Below are 15,598 nucleotides of genomic sequence, written 5' to 3' on the forward strand. Positions count from 1 at the left end.
GGACAGGAGCTGCCACCCCCACGGAGACCGCAACCCACGGCGCGGCCGGACGCGAGGGGCGGGGGGCAGTGGCCGGACCGCACAGCCGCCTACGGTGTCCCCTGCGGGGAAGCAAACCCAAAAGGCAGGAGGCCACTCATAACCTGGTGCCCCACCCTGGCCCGGGCGACGCGCCCTTTCAGCTTGGTGGAGCTGGGTTCTGTATCAACCTGGTGCACATCCCACAGCCTGCCTGTCGGTGTCAAACTGGGGATGGGGAGTCTAGCCTTTTGAAGAGTCAAATAGGGGGTTTTAAGTTGGAAACACTGTTGAAAGTGACAATATGAAGTTGCAAAGGGATAGGTCAATATGCAGAGAAGGGTAGCTAAAATGGTGACGTCAACAGAATACCGAGGAACCCCGACTGACCATGTTAAAGAGGGGCAGCAAAGATCTCAGTAACGGGGGCTTGGTATGAATGCCAAAATGATGCAAAGCCACCGGAACTGCTAAATAATTACTTGGTTCTATATTACACATCTAAAAGAGCAGAGAATATGTAGAAACAACTAGGAACGTGAACATGTGTTATGTGTTTTTATATGACATTCGAGAAAGCTGAATGAATTAGGATCCCTTCTGCCAAAACAAGTAAAGGCAAGTGTGTTAAAAAGCAAACAAAAAACATCACCACCACAACACCAAACTATATGATTTGACTGTAATAGATTCTACAAATCCAATAAAGGTAGAAATGAAAAGATGAGAAATAAAAAGACTTAAAAATTCTCACTCAAATGCTATTAATACAATAGGTACCATTTTATTGGTACTTATATTCCTGAACATGGTAGTTATTAGATATTATTGTACTATGTCTTCTACTTGCATTATCTAATTTAAACTCGAAACGGCCAAAGGAGCTATTACTGTCCACATTTTACGAATGAAGATATTGAAGTTCAGAGAAGATGAACAACTTGCTAGTGGCTGAAAAGCAGGGATTGAAGCCCATGACTCTGGCCCAGCCCCAGTTTTTGCCCATGCAGGTGCATTGTCCCTCTGTGCAGGACCAGTCCACTCAACACCACTGGGTTCGGGGCTGAAGTAGCTGTTCACAGATTTACTCACACTCTCTGGATCGGTTTTATAAACACAAATTCAGGATTGGATGAGACTCAAGAGAGTGCTTAATCTAAGCGCTTGATATTACAGAAAAGGAAACTGAGGCCCACAGAAAGAAATTTAGGATTGCTCCACTAGGAGTGGAGTGGTGCCTGCAATGTGGAAACAAAATGGATCGCCTCCTTTCCTCCCCTTTGCCCGCACCTTCTCCCCACCCCGCATGTTCTCTCTTGCATTAGCATTCAGATTCTGTTTCCTAGTCAAAGATGAATGTTGCTTCTTTTCCCTGAAAGCCTTCCAAGTGCTTTAACTTGTATTTTCCAGGGCTCAAGAACTATCTCTGCGATATTCTCCATCCCCTTTCCCTCCTGCCCCTCTACCTCAGATTTCTGGAACAGGGTCAGTACCTCTCACAAACCAAACAGGGGCTCTCTGTTTTTATGGAGTTCCATGAAAGAAAATTCCATAGGCTTCTGCGGTCACCTATCCCACTGTTTAATAATATTCTTCTAGAGAAATTTCGCCTTAAATTTAATCTATCTCCCTCCCTCTCTAATGCAAATTCAACTCGTTCCTCTTTTTCTGGCCTTAGGGATTAGGGCCATTATCCTGCTGATTATCCTTCATGCATTGTCTTGAAGAGTTGTTAAATTGCTTTCAATCTTCTTTTCTCCAAGTAAAAGACAATTTCTTTAAGTTCTCTCAGAGGTTCTAATTTATAACCATTTATTAGCTTTTCCATTCTTCCTCTCATTTCTCCTCTCTCAGACTGTAATTCTAACCTATTAAATACAAATCTGGTAAAGATCTGATCCATGTCAAATAAGTTTTTATGCTATAAGTACTCCCATAGCTTGCCATCAGGTGTGCCTCTGCAGCAGAGCCACCTCGTTGGTTGAGACTGGGCTTCACCAAGACCAGACCCTCCTCTGCCAGGCTAATTTAGGAACAGTGATTAGGGTGTGTGCTGGAGAAGCAGAGGGAGACCAGCGTGTATCAAGTCTTTTCTCTCTGCCAGGTGCTTTACACAATTAGTAAAATCTCCACAATAATCCTCTGTGCATGACATTATTCTCATTTTACAAATTTATAACTCCAAGATCTAGATGCCAAGTAACTTGCCTGGGGTCCCAGAGCTAAAATTTGAACCCAGAGCTTTTGCACTCCAAAGCTATACTCTTTTCTCAGGACATAATGGTGCTCCAAGATCTGAATCTCAAATTTGGGTCAACATCAGTCCAACCTCCTTCAGTGGAGGAAGGATGGAGACTGGGAGCACCATAATTTCTACAGCAGTGACCTGGAGCACTTTAAATCCAACCTGGGGCCTCAGTATCCGGGTCATTTCTTGGCTGCCTATGTTCTTAGCTGTTCAGTAGGTGTTGGGTGGCTTTTAAACTGGGCTAGTAGCTCCTTAGACCTATCAAACAAGGCCTGGTTCTTTTTCTGATCATTGCCAGCCTCTGTCAGCAGTATTAAAATTGGACGGGGGCAGAGTATGCCACTATGGAAGCTCCAGTGGCATACAGCCTGGGACATGTGACCTCATTATCAGGAGAGAGATGCAGTGATCGAGCCTCACTGGGCTCGACCCTCCTGGGCCTGCTGGTAAAATCACTTTCTTCTTTCACCTTTAGATCTCTTCTATCCTTCAATCAGCTCTATTTTGAAGAGAACAAATTATCTATTGCTTTGGATAATATGATTAATTTTTTGTTTAGAAAAGTGAAAGTTAAAAAAATAGGTTAGAAATGGAGGGAAATACATAATAGAACATAATTTAAATATCTACTTAGTAGACTACCATGTTAGTATTTTTAGTCAATCTTAATTTAACACTATATAGTAGAAATACATTGTACTTATAGTATATACATGATATTCTATAGCATATCTTCACATCCACATACATACTGCATAGGTCCATACTTCTATAGTCAACTAGTATTTTTTCTCCTAATCCTGCCACTTGACCAGATCAATCCAGCTCTAAATCCAAGGGTGGTAAGCCACAACCAGACAAGTTTCAGGAATGCAGTTAGTCCAACACCCTCCAGTGACCCAGTGCACAGCAACCCTGGCTCAGTAGAAACAGTAGACCTGGAGGTGGCAAACCCATGCCTGAACACCATCTTTGCTACCTTCTACCTGTGTGACCTTAGACATGACTCTGAACTTCCATTTTCTCATCTATAACATGAAAATAATATCACATACCTCATAGAGTTGTTGAAAGGGTTAAAACATATAAGCTTTAAAGTACAAATGTTACTTATAATTCACTTTTATCCTCTGCTGGGTTCACTTAGGGACAGCAGCAAGTTTTCTGATTCCTATTACTCATCTAGGGGGAATACATAAGGAGGCTCATGTGTGGTGACCCAAGACAGCAGTGGTCATTAGCAGCCGCTATCTCTTTCTATTAGGGAATATCTACCTTGATGCTGTAGTATAATAGGCACATAAGAACACAGAATGCAAACAGAAAAGTAGAAGATACAGTTGTCCTTGAGGAATTTACTATTTAACCTTAAAGACAAATCACGAAAATAAAAGACAATTACAAAGCCACAAATGCTACTCATAAATGAATACAGAATAATGCATTATAAACTAGATAGGCTAACAGATTAGATGAATTTGGTCTAGGAGAATATGGAAATAAGAAATGATTAGCCTGGGGTTAGATCTCTTGGATAAAATCAGTTCTGAAGGAGGGAAGGGAATGACTGAAAAGAATGAAGAGGATACTCAGGAAAGGGGAGTGGTACAAGCAAAGATGATGGCCTAGTAATGATGAAGAGCCAAGTTAGATGATCTAAGAAAGAGAGGAAACCCTAATATCGTCTCACAAAACCTTCACAAAAACCTTGTGAAGTTCACACTATTATCTTGATTTTACAAATGCAGAAACTCAGGTTCAGAGCTTGTCCAATAGGGAGCTGGAGTTGGAATCCAGGCCCTTGTTGACTCCACGGTAACAGTCTCTTGGTGAATGATTCCCAGGGCAAGCATGCTGGGTTGTCCACCTCTGTTCAAGTCAATCATTTTCCTTCCTAAATCGAAGAAACTGTTTTTCCTCCTTCTAGAACTGTTACCTTCTTCTTGGGCTTTTAACACCTTATACTTCATTTGACTGACCACTTCCCCAACAGAATGGTGTCACTCTGACTTCTACTGTTGATTTTTTGAAAAGGTAAGCAACTCCACCAAATTTGGCCCCATATGCAGAAATAAAAGCATACCTGTCTTTCAAGCCTCTGATCAGTCCAGGTCACATTTGGAGATCCAACTAGAGCCACTCAAAACTAACAATGCTTTGAAAGCTGGCTGTTGATTAGAAACGGGAATGTCAAGTTACCTTTGCTCAAACAATAAGCTCATTACAAGGTACTTCAGAGAGAGTCAGGCATTAAAGACCTTGCTTTGATGACTTTGAAAAGCTAGGAAAAGGCAGAATTAGTTACAGAGTGTTTTTCCCTCAAATCAGAGACCAAAGATTGTGGGAAACTCTTATCTTATAGAAAGACATTTACAGAAAAAAAAAGACAGACGTCTTTTTTTCTAGGGCTGGGCTTGGTGGCTCACACCTGTAATCCCAGCACTTTGGGAGGCCAAAGCCAGTGGATCACTTGAGGTCAAGAGTTCAAGACCAGCCTGGCCAACATGGCGAAACTCCTTCTTTACTAAAAATACAAAATTTAGCTGGGTGTGGTGGTGCGCGCCTATAATCCCAGCTATTCAGGTGGCTGAGGCACAAGGATGGCTTGAACCCCGGAGGCAGAGGTTTTCGTGAGCCAAGATTGCACCACTGCACTCCAGCCTGGCCAACAGAGCAAGACTCTGTCAGAAGAAGAAGAAGGAGGAGGAGAAGGACATGGATTATAATATATTGACTAACTAATGAGCTTTATTTCTGAGCTACCACGCCCAGCCTTTATTTCTACTCCAGTCTCTATTTGAGAAGAAGTGAGCTGCTTAATAGAAAATCTTAGAAAACACTAGTTCAGTGAATGTTCAATAATACTCAAGTGATTCCCTGGCACGCCTATCAGCTTTCTGTAACTGGGTTTGTACTAATCTACCCACACTCTCTCACCCGGTCCCTCTGGGTAGAGATGGTACCCTAAGGATGCTGGGGATCTGTAGCCAAAGAAAGCAAGAAAGGATATAGTCATTTGCTTTTTAGTAACTTGTATTCTTAGCTTCTGCAAAATGACAAGTTTATTCTATTACGGTTATAACTAACAAAAGGGTATTTAACACTCACTCCCACCCTACAACAGAGTGCCCCAAACAAAACAGACTTCATTTATATCCACAAATTCCTAAAACCACCCAAGATACTGCTGGTGTGAACAGGGGTGTCTTATGTGTGTGATAATCTTTCTTCATTTATGCACTCCATAAAAAAAATTTTTGAGAACCTACTAAGTGCCAGACACTGTTCTAGGTGCTTGAAATGTGAGAGAACAAAAAACAAAACAAAACAAAATCCCTGTCCTCATGGAACTTTATTCTAGTAAAGAGGAGTTGGGGAGACGGACAATTAAAAACGAACATAAGAACAAATAACTCACTGAGCGCCATGGCTCATGCCTGTAATCCCAGCACTTTGGGAGGCCGAGGCGGGCAGATCATCTGAGGTCAGGAGTTCGAGACCAGCATGGCCAACATGGTGAAACCCCGTCTCTACTAAAAATACAAAAATTAGCCAGGCATGGTGGTATCCACCTGTAATCCCAGCTATTCAAATGGCTGAGGCACCAGAATTGCTTGAACCAGGGAGGCAGAGGTTGCAGTGAGCCAAGATCGCACCACTCCATTCCAGCCTGGGTGACAGAGCAAGACTCTGTCTCTAAATAAATAGGCTGGGCGCGGTGGTTCACACCTGTAATCCCAGGGAGGCGGAAGTGGGTGGATCACCTGAGGTCAGGAGTTTGAGACCAGCCTAGAAACATGGTGAAACCTCATCTCTACTAAAAATACAAAAATTAGCTGGGCATGGTGGTGCGTGCCTGTAATCCCAGCTACTAGGGAGACTGAGGCAGGAGAATCACTTGAACTCAGGAGGGACGTTTCAGTAAGCCGAGATGATGCCACCGCACTCCAGCCTGGGCAACAGAGTGAGGCTTCATCTCAAAAAATAAAATAAAATAAAATAAAATATATAGTTGCGCTTCAGTTTACAATGGGGTTGTGTCCCGCTAAACCCACTGTAAGTTGACAATATCCTAAGTCGAAAACGCATTTAATACACCTAACCTAGCAAATGTCACATCCTAGCTTACCTTAAACATGCTCAGAACGCTCACATTAGCCTACAGTTGGCCAATATCATCTAACACAAAACCTGTTTTATAATCCAGTGTTGAATATCTAATGTAATTTACTGAATACTATACTGCAAGTGAAAAACAGAATGATTGTACGGGCACTCAAAGTACGGCTTCTACTGAATACAGATGGCTTTTGCACCATCATCGAGTCAAAAAATTGTAAGTTGAACCATCGTACATTGGGGATCATCTGTAATAATAATAATGGGTTAGAAGGGAATAAGAAAGGACTATGGGCAAAACACCACATTCCAAGCACAGGGTGAAAGGATTGGGGTGCAGCCAGCTTGTGGCAGGAGGGGGATGCAAGGTCAGAAGGCAGATTCCTCCGTAGAGTGGTTAATGTTGGTCTCATTGAGAAGGTGCGATTTGAGCAAAGGGCTGAAAGAGGTGAAGGTTTTGACCAAGCAGATACCTAGGGGAAGAGCATTCTCGGCAGACAGAACCATGGTATGTCAGGGAAACAGCAAGGAGACCATTGCGACTAAAGAAAATAAAGCTAGGTGGGAGAGTCACCGGAGAGGAGGATGGAGTGAGTGAGTTTAACTTTCTACTTTCTGATCACGAGGGTGTTTTTCAAACTTTTTGTAAAGCTCAGAGTGAAGATAATTTACCCTTTAAAGAGATTTATGTATTGACATGCAAATATAGACACAACATAATTAAGTAAAAGTAGGTAACAAAACAGTATATACATATAGGATTCTTTTAAACTTTAAAAAAGAGAGAGAGAGAGACCCTGTCATGGTTCTCACTTTCTCCTTTGTACACTTAATTTTTTTTTTTTTTCTCCTGAGACAGAGTCTTGCTCTGTCGCCAGGCTGAAGTACAGTGGCACTATCTCGGCTCACTGCAACCTCCACCTCCTGGGTTCAAGTGATTCTCCTGCCTCAGCCTCCAGAGTAGCTGGGACTACAGGTGTGTGCCACCACACCCAGCTAATTTTTGTAATTTTAGTAAAAACGGGGTTTCACCATGTTGGCCAGGATGGTCTTGATCTCTTGACCTCGTGATCCACCCGACTCAGCCTCCCAAAGTGCTGGAATTACAGGTGCGAGCCACCTCACCTAGCTCCCATACTTGAAAAATTTGAGAGGAATGCTGGGTGTGGAGGCACTTGCCTATTGTCCCAGCTACTCAGGAAGTTGAGGTAAGGAGATTGTTTGAGACCAGAAATGTGAGACCAGACCGGGCAACTTAGTGAGACCCCATGGGGGAGAAAATAAAAAAAGAAACAATTTGGGGGAAAGAATCTATCTTTTAAATATCAACTTTGGGCTGGGCCTAATGGCTTTCCTTGAGCCCAGGAAGTTGAGGCTGCAGTAAGCCATGATTGTGCCACTGCACTACAGCCTGGGCAAATGAGTGAGATACCTTGAAAGTAAATAAATGGAAAATTTAAAAATAAAGGGGAAATTTAACACAGTGATATTTTCAGCAAAAGGCAGAGAAGACTCCTCACTAGGACACCCAGCTTGTGAGGCGACTGACTTCGAGTTTGTACTTGGCTGTCATGCACCCGGGATGCACCAGGCACAAGTCACAGCCACACTGTTTTTGGAGGTGTCACCAGTCAACGAGGTGAAGTACAGTGAGGCCCCAGTTCCTGCACTATGGACTAGTGAACAGTCAAAGTGTGTGTGCATTTTTAGGGATTGACAAATGAAAATAGCAGAACTGTGCCAAACGAAACGATTTAATCTGTTCATATAGGGTAGGGGTGGAGCAACAGCAGAGAACACTTCAGGGTTTCTCACCTAGGGTGCTCTGTGATGACTCAGGGACTGGCCTGGCTCCTTTGGGTCATTCATCAAAGCCATTTTGAAGCAAGGACTGCTTAGTAGGAGCTGAGCTTTCCACCAGAAAGACAACTTAGGAAATAGCTCCTGGCTGTGAGAACCTAAGAGGTATGCATGGTTCTGGATGGGAATCTCAAAGATGATGGCGGTCATCAAATGGAACTGAAGCAGGTAGAGAAAGTGGTTTCAAAAGGATCTAAAGATGACGGAAAACATTTCAACAGTTAAACCACTTAGATAACTAATAGGAAGAATTCACTGGGAAGAAAAATCCCCACGGGAAGCTCCAGAGAATGGGCTATATTGCTGACCAGGAAGGGAGATATAGGAAGCCTATAAAGTTGGCTTAAACCTCATGTTGATTAAACCTCATGGTGTTCACAGACTTGAGCTGCAAGTGAGAAAATCCAATGGGAAAACATTCCAGATTGCTATAAAGCAATTCAAGGGAATGGCACTGGCTTGTAGGAAATGTATTGGGAATGAGATAGAGAAATCCACATTCAACAAGAAACAGGAATCATTAAACATGCATTAACTCAAATTATATACTTATTGACTGCACTGAGTGCTTATTCACTATCACCACCAACAGGGGCATTATGCTCCTTGCTGAATGGCCACAAACTGCCTGTGTTCAATAAGCCCACAATCTGCCACAGCCTCCGGAGTACCTGGGACTACAGGCGCACATCACCACACTAATTTTTTTTTTATTTTTATTTTTGAGATGGAGTCTTGCTCTGTCGCCCAGGGTGGAGTGCAGTGGCACGATCTCAGCTCACTGCAGCCTCTGCCTCCCGGGTTCCAGCGATTCTCCTGCCTCAGCCTCCTGAGTAGACTAGCTGGGATTACAGGTGTGCGCCACCACATCCAGCTAATTTTTGTATTTTTAGTAGAGATGGGGTTTCACCATGTTGGCCAGGCTGGTCTCAAATTCCTGACCTCAGGTGATCCACCTGCCTCAGCCTCCCAAAGTGCTGGGATTACAGGCGTGAGCCACTGCGCCTGGCCCACCACGCTAATTTTAAAAATGTTTTGCAAAGACAGGGTTTCGCCATGTTGCCTAGGCTGGTCTCAAACTCCTAGCCTCAAGCAATCCTCCCGCCTCAGCCTCCCAAAGTGCTGGGATTACAGGCGTAAGCCATGGAGCCCAGTCTTAAATTTCCCCTTTAGCACAATCCAGACACTCAATCTTTTCTTTCTTTTTTTTTTTTAATTCAAAATACCATTGTACAGCTTATCCTTCTGAAATGATCTATTCCCTTTGTCTTGCTATTCTAACTATGTAAATTTTCCTGCCAGATTTAATTCACACCTATGAAAGAGGGCAACACAACAGACATTACCACTATCAGAAAACCACTCAAGTAGGGCCATCAGTATCACCTTCAAATGTCATCACACCGTTATTAGTATTGCTGTTATCTATGAAACAAAATCTAAATTATTACCAGCTCTGCCTTCCACAACTAGTGCCTCCCCATTCCTCTCACGTGACAGGACGCCCTGAAATCCCCGCTAGGCAACAATGCTAAATGAAACTGGCAGTCTTCCCTTCTCATGTGGCATCAGGCTTTTTCTGTCTTGAGTAAGGGCTGTCTTTACCATGCATGATTCCCAACAGCACTGCTCTTGATCCCTGAGTGGAGACCCACACCCTGTGGGGCTTCCCTACCAGCTCCAACCCCTTTCACCATCCCCTGCTCAGCCTTCAAGGCCTGAGGTAGGAGGGAAAAGCCAGGATGAAGTGCCAGTCAAAAGGATCACCCTTCCCCTACTCCATTCTCCCCTCTCCTGTCACCCATTTCTGACTGGCCGTCAATCCTATCAGGGGTCCATAAAGCTAGGAGGACTCTGGCCCGGGAGAGGGGGGTAGGGGTTAGGCAAACAGGCCAGGGAGGCCGTTGGTTGAAATTTAACCACAATATTCTCGGTCTCTATTGTTTTGAGTGAGGCCCAATATTTCCACAGCAGGATTATAGGATCTGATTAACCATGTTAGACAACAATGCCGAGCTGGGATGGGCTTCCCCTTCCAGCTGCCAATATGAAAAAGTAAATACAACACATTTCAGAAGGGACTCCCAGCAGCCCCTGAACCCTACTCCCCAATTCTAACTCTGCTACTGTTTTGGGCCCCAGAGTAAGGGCAGAGAGGAAGAGTGTGGCACTGCATGCTCCTTTAACTACTGGCCCTTGGCCCAGCAGGACAAGTAATCCTAGCACAATCTTCCCAGGTGAGTCAATGGCTGTGTGCTCCCCACACCCTGGAGCTCTTCCAGTGCTTCTTCCGGGTTCCCCTGGTAGGCTGGCCCAGATTCTTGAGAACCCATAAGAGTTGGGTGCTGAGTGGGTGGAAGGATAGCAAAATCTGTTGGGCTCCAAATAGAGAAACTGAGTGGGGTGGGACTTAATAGCTCAGAAGAGTGATGAAGCCTTTGCTAGAATACTTGGGTGCTACCTAATGACTTCCTATGTGCTAGGATAGAGAACTGAGAGCCCAGAGCTGAGAGGATACATAAAAGGCCACCACAAAAAAAGTCTCAGAAGATGGGATGAAAGATCAAGAAAGATGGACTTCTAGATGTTCAAATAGAGAAGGATTCCCTATGGTCCCTCTTCCTCACATAAGACAAGCTACCTCATACCCTCCATGCACTGGATGTTCCGCTCATGGTGAGATCTTCTGAGGCCTTGGCCAAGAACACAAGGAAAAAACATAGAGCAATGAGCTGCCCTGGACAAGAGCACCCTGTAGCAGCTTCCAGGGCATCAATGCAGCTGGGAACCCCCCTCCTATAAAGTATGGGCTTCCTTCTCTTCCTGCATTCCCCTCTGTATCTAAGGGCCTAGTGTAATCCATTACAATTTTGCTAGCCCATACATTTATGGATATTAGTAACAGAGACGAGGAACCAAGGTTCTTGAGCTCTGAGTTTGGTGGCTTCCTTGCAGTATGTCACTTATTCCTTTCTAACAGTTTTTTCTTCAAGAAAAATTAGAAGACAGAAACTACTTCACAGTAGAGCTTAGAAAAACATATCCTGATTGTATCAAAACCTAGTTGACATAAAATTATATTTGTTAATGGTATAATATCCCTGAAGTGATATTTTCTGAGTTAGGGTTAAAACTGACCCTGTTCTCAAAGAGTATAACCTAATGAAAGGATGAAAACAGAAAAGTGCACAGGAAGTGTGTCTATTAACACAGTCTACATTAACAGCATAAGCAGAACAGACAAAGTGAGCTTACCATATCATGAGGAAGGGCTATTAAGAGAATTTAGGCTTACTCTATACTCTCTGGAGCGAATCTGTGTAGTTTTGTAAGTAGGAGAAAATGAGAGACAGAATAAACAGAGAGAGGAAAATGCTCCTAGTGACAATGTAAGGAACGAAACCAGGAGGAGCAGCACAGCCTTTTCCATTCCCCACTCCTCCCGCCAGCTTTGTACAGAGTACACAAGGGGCCCCTGCTTATCTCCCAACAAACGTGGGCTAAGGAGGAGGTAAGGGCTTGGGAAAATGGGAGGTCTAAGTGAAAAGGAAGGAAAGAAAAGGGAGTCCAAATGTACCGCTGGATAAAAACGAGCAGCAGTAGGGCTGAGTATCAAGAGATGTGAGCATCTCTCCTTCCCCCAGTGCTCACTGTGGGTGCGCTACACCAGGCCTGTGGAAGGATTTTGGTCTCAACAGGCTAGACTCTTTCCAGTTCAGAGCATAGAAGCACAGATCTCACTCTTCGCCACCTTACACCATAGGAATTCGCTTCTCAGGAATCAGGGAAAGATGGAGACTAGAAGCTTTCTTCCTGCCTTCTCAATAACTTTACTATCCCTTGGAAATCCTCCTTGATCTGGGAGACTGGCTGCCTGGTGACAAGAGAAGAGAATGACCCTAGTGATATCTTTTAGGACCCAGCCTGAGCTCTGCTTTTAAGGGTTGCTGGGGAAGCCCCCACTGAGGCATGAGAAAAGGAGGTGCTACCCAGCTAGAGTGGAAAGGGATGAGGCTTTCTCTCCAAGCAGGGAGCATGCCTGTCCTAGCTAACTATGGGGGACCAGCCGGCAAGGCCAAGTAGGCCTTGCAATCTAGGTGGCGCTATTTCTCTACTTTTTAGGTCAAGTTCCTGCAGGAACTTCCTCGAGGTCCCAAGTCCTGCTCCTGGTTTGCTGGCTTGCTCGTGTAAACCACCTTATATTATTTTTTTTTCTAAAAATACTCCAAAGCAATTGAAAGAGTCCCTTCTCCCACCAGCCAGCCCTGGCCCCAGCCCCAGCCCCGGGGAGCGGGCGGGTAGGCGGGGAGGTGGGCCACTGCTTTATTAAACACAGGGAAAACTAATATTTACGGAATAAAATTTATGGAGCAGCCACGAGAATTCGACCCTTTTATGTGCATGTAGAGTGGGGGTTGGGCCAGGCTGGGGGCCTCAGGGAGGGGCCCAAGCCAGGGGGCAGGGCTGGAATACAGCCTGGCTAGGCCAATTTGTCAAAGCAGGGATTTCCCTGGAGTTGCCTTAGGATGAATGATTCTCAACCACTACCCCTAGCTTTGCGGGGTAAGGGCTTCGGGGCAAGAATGCCTGTGGCAGGGCCTCTGGTAGCAATGTTTCTCTAACAACGTATTTAAGCAATACCCCAATGGAGACAGCAACCTTTGGGGATGATGGGGGCAGTGGATGGAAGGTTACTAGCTATATTCTTACTTAACCTTTTTAGAAAGTCACACATTCTTTTTGAGAACATCAACAAAATTTTGCTCTTAAGATTTTACCTACAATTTTGAGGGATTCACAGGCCTCTGGCCCCGCTGTGATGAAAAATGTCTTGAGTCTGTGCTGTTACAGTACAGGGAATGCCCAGGGTGAAGAACCGGTATTTTCTCCAAGCTTGCAGGGGAAGCCTTTCCATTTTCCATGTGCCTTGTAGATACTGAAATCTGACTATCTAAATTATGCTGAAAAGAAACGAAAGATCGGCCAGGCACAGTGGCTCAAACGTGTAATCCCAGCACTTTGGGAGGCCGAGGCAGGTAGATCACCTGAGGTCAGGAGTTCGAGACCAGCCTAGCCAACATGGTGAAACCCTGTCTCTACAAAAAATACAAAAATTAGCCGGGCTTGGTGGCAGGCATCTAATCCCAGCTACTCGGGAGGCTGAGGCAGGAGAATCACTTGAACACAGGAGGTGGAGTTTGCAGTGAGCCAAAATTGTGCGATTGTACTCCAGCCTAGGCAACAAGAGCAAGACTCCATTAAAAAAAAAAAAAAGTAACAAAAGAGCAAAGTAAGCCAGCTGATAGGCTGTTTTTATATAGTTCCCAATTCACTTCGATGACAGTCACTACCACACAGCACACTCTAGGGTCCTGTGGTCTGGGGGTAAAGAAAAGTTATCAGCAGTGACTGGGAATGAGCCTTGGTGGAGATCTCAGACTCTGCTAGCAGGAAAAAGCATGAGGGTAAGTCCTGGAGTCCTCAAGAGCTCCTTCCTTGAAGAGCCCCTGGGGAGCAGACATCCTATTGAAAAGAGGCAAGGTCATGGGATAAGGAGGTTTACAGTGGGAGACTGGAAAGAAGAACCTAATGTCCTTTCTGGAAAATAAATGTTTTCATTAGTGTATATAATAATGCTGTTAAGAACTCAGCTGTCTGGGCTTAAATTCTGGCTGTCACTTATTAGCTGTATGACCTTTGATAAGTCACTTACTCACTTCAGGATCCAATTTCTTAATGGGTTAACAGCATCTTCCTCATATGATGCTATGAGGATCAATGTCAAGTGCTCATTAGAGTAGCTGGTATACATTAACTGCTCAATAAATGTTAGCTATTTATTATTGTTGTTCTTATTATAATTATTTTATTATTGTTTGATCATCTTCTCTCGAGACTTGACATCAGGACAGAAACGCCAGTATATATACAGGATATTTGAATAAGGAGGCATTTAACCATCGAAAGTAAATAAACCAGAAATTGGATAGGCGTGGTAGCTCATGCCTGTAATCCCAGCACTTTGGGAGGTTGAGGTGGGCAGATCACTAGAGTCCAGGAGTTCAAGACCAGCCTGGGCAACATGGCAAAGCCTTGTCTCCACACACAAAAAAATACAAAAATTAGCTAGGTGTGGTGGTGTGTGCCTTTAGTCCCAGTTATGCAGAAGGATGAGGCGGGAGGATTGATAAACTACCCCACGTGGTAGTTTAACCTGTTGCCTATACTTTGGAAACAAAGAGAAAAATGCATCCAAGTTTGGCAAAGGAAAGCAGCAATCACCTATCTGTCTTGTGCCCACCATCAAGAGAGTTCTTGAGATCAAAGTTTCCAAATGGAGACTTAGCTCTGGCAACTGCAGAAAAGTTTACGAAGAATCTGAAGGACCAGACTGATGGCTAGACTTCATCCAGAGACAACAATGGGGTGGGACCCAGTGAAGGAAGTGAATTGGGTTATGAGTTCCACAGCATAAGTAATCCCAAAAGCAGGGACTGTGAGTGCTTTTTATTCCATGCAAAAGAGAGAAGTGGGTCTCTGAGGAGTATCTGGGGCTGGCTGGCTAGAGACGCTAGGGAAAGGTAGACAAGGCTTCCTGAGTGTGTGGTGCTTTCTTGCTGACTTGCCCTATATACCTAAAGTCCATGGTAGAAACCTGAACCTACAGAACCTCCACCAAAAGAGAGGAGAGCACGGGATTCTCAGAGACTGGCTTCCACTTGAACAGGGAAGGCCAATTCCCTGTGGGCCTGTCAACATCAACTTCAGTTCTCTCGCCCTTACAGGAGGCCTCTGACTGTATCACTATTTTAGAAATATTGCTGCCATGTAAGCTTCTTTCAAGGTGAAGCTTGGAAGCTGTTCTCCAAGTCCATCCTCAGCAGCTGAGGCCACAACAGATTAACTGAAGAGACCCCTTGGCTTCTTCCTCTTGACCTTTGACAGCTGAGGTCTCTGCAGAGGGCCTGAAGTACCCTAGAAAAAAGGGAACCCAAGTTAGTAGGGGTTTTGAAATAGTTCCACTGAAATTAGGAAAGGAACTTTCTTCCTCTCATGGCTCCTGGTTAGGATGAGGCCTTTTTTTTTTTTTTTTTTTTTTTCCACCCAGGCTGGAGTACATGGGCACAATCAGAGCTCACTGCAGCCTTGAACTCCTGGGCTCGAGCAATCCGCCTGTCTCAGCCTCCAAAGTAGCTGAGACCACAGGCACATGCTGCCATATCTGGCTAATTTTGTTTTTTGTAAAGATAGGGTTTCACTTGGTTGCCCAGGCTGGTATTAAACTCCTGGCTTCAAGTGATCCTCCTGCCTTGGCCTCCCACAGGTTGTGATAACAAGCATGAGCCACCATGC

General features: G+C 44.5%; 1 protein-coding gene and 1 long non-coding RNA gene across 5 annotated transcripts in view; one reads left to right on the forward strand and one right to left on the reverse strand.

The window, feature by feature from the left end:
• Positions 458-8,787, forward strand: LOC124906120 (uncharacterized). Its single transcript, XR_007088092.1, has 3 exons — positions 458-4,300; positions 6,474-6,602; positions 7,882-8,787. It is a non-coding gene; the product is annotated as an uncharacterized LOC124906120 (long non-coding RNA).
• NHEJ1 (non-homologous end joining factor 1) overlaps positions 8,122-15,598 on the reverse strand; it is a 91,459-nt gene continuing 83,982 nt past the window's right edge. For all 4 annotated transcript variants that reach the window (NR_165304.1, NM_024782.3, NM_001377499.1 and 1 more), the window contains one exon: positions 8,122-15,220. Coding sequence is in view for 3 of the 4 variants with exons in the window: in NM_024782.3 (NP_079058.1) it covers positions 15,146-15,220 (75 nt within the window). In the remaining variant the exon portion in view is untranslated. The remainder of the gene's footprint in view (positions 15,221-15,598) is intronic.

Source organism: Homo sapiens, chromosome 2 (genome assembly GCF_000001405.40).
Source record: "Homo sapiens chromosome 2, GRCh38.p14 Primary Assembly".
In the NCBI taxonomy this organism is placed as follows: Eukaryota; Metazoa; Chordata; class Mammalia; order Primates; family Hominidae; genus Homo; species Homo sapiens.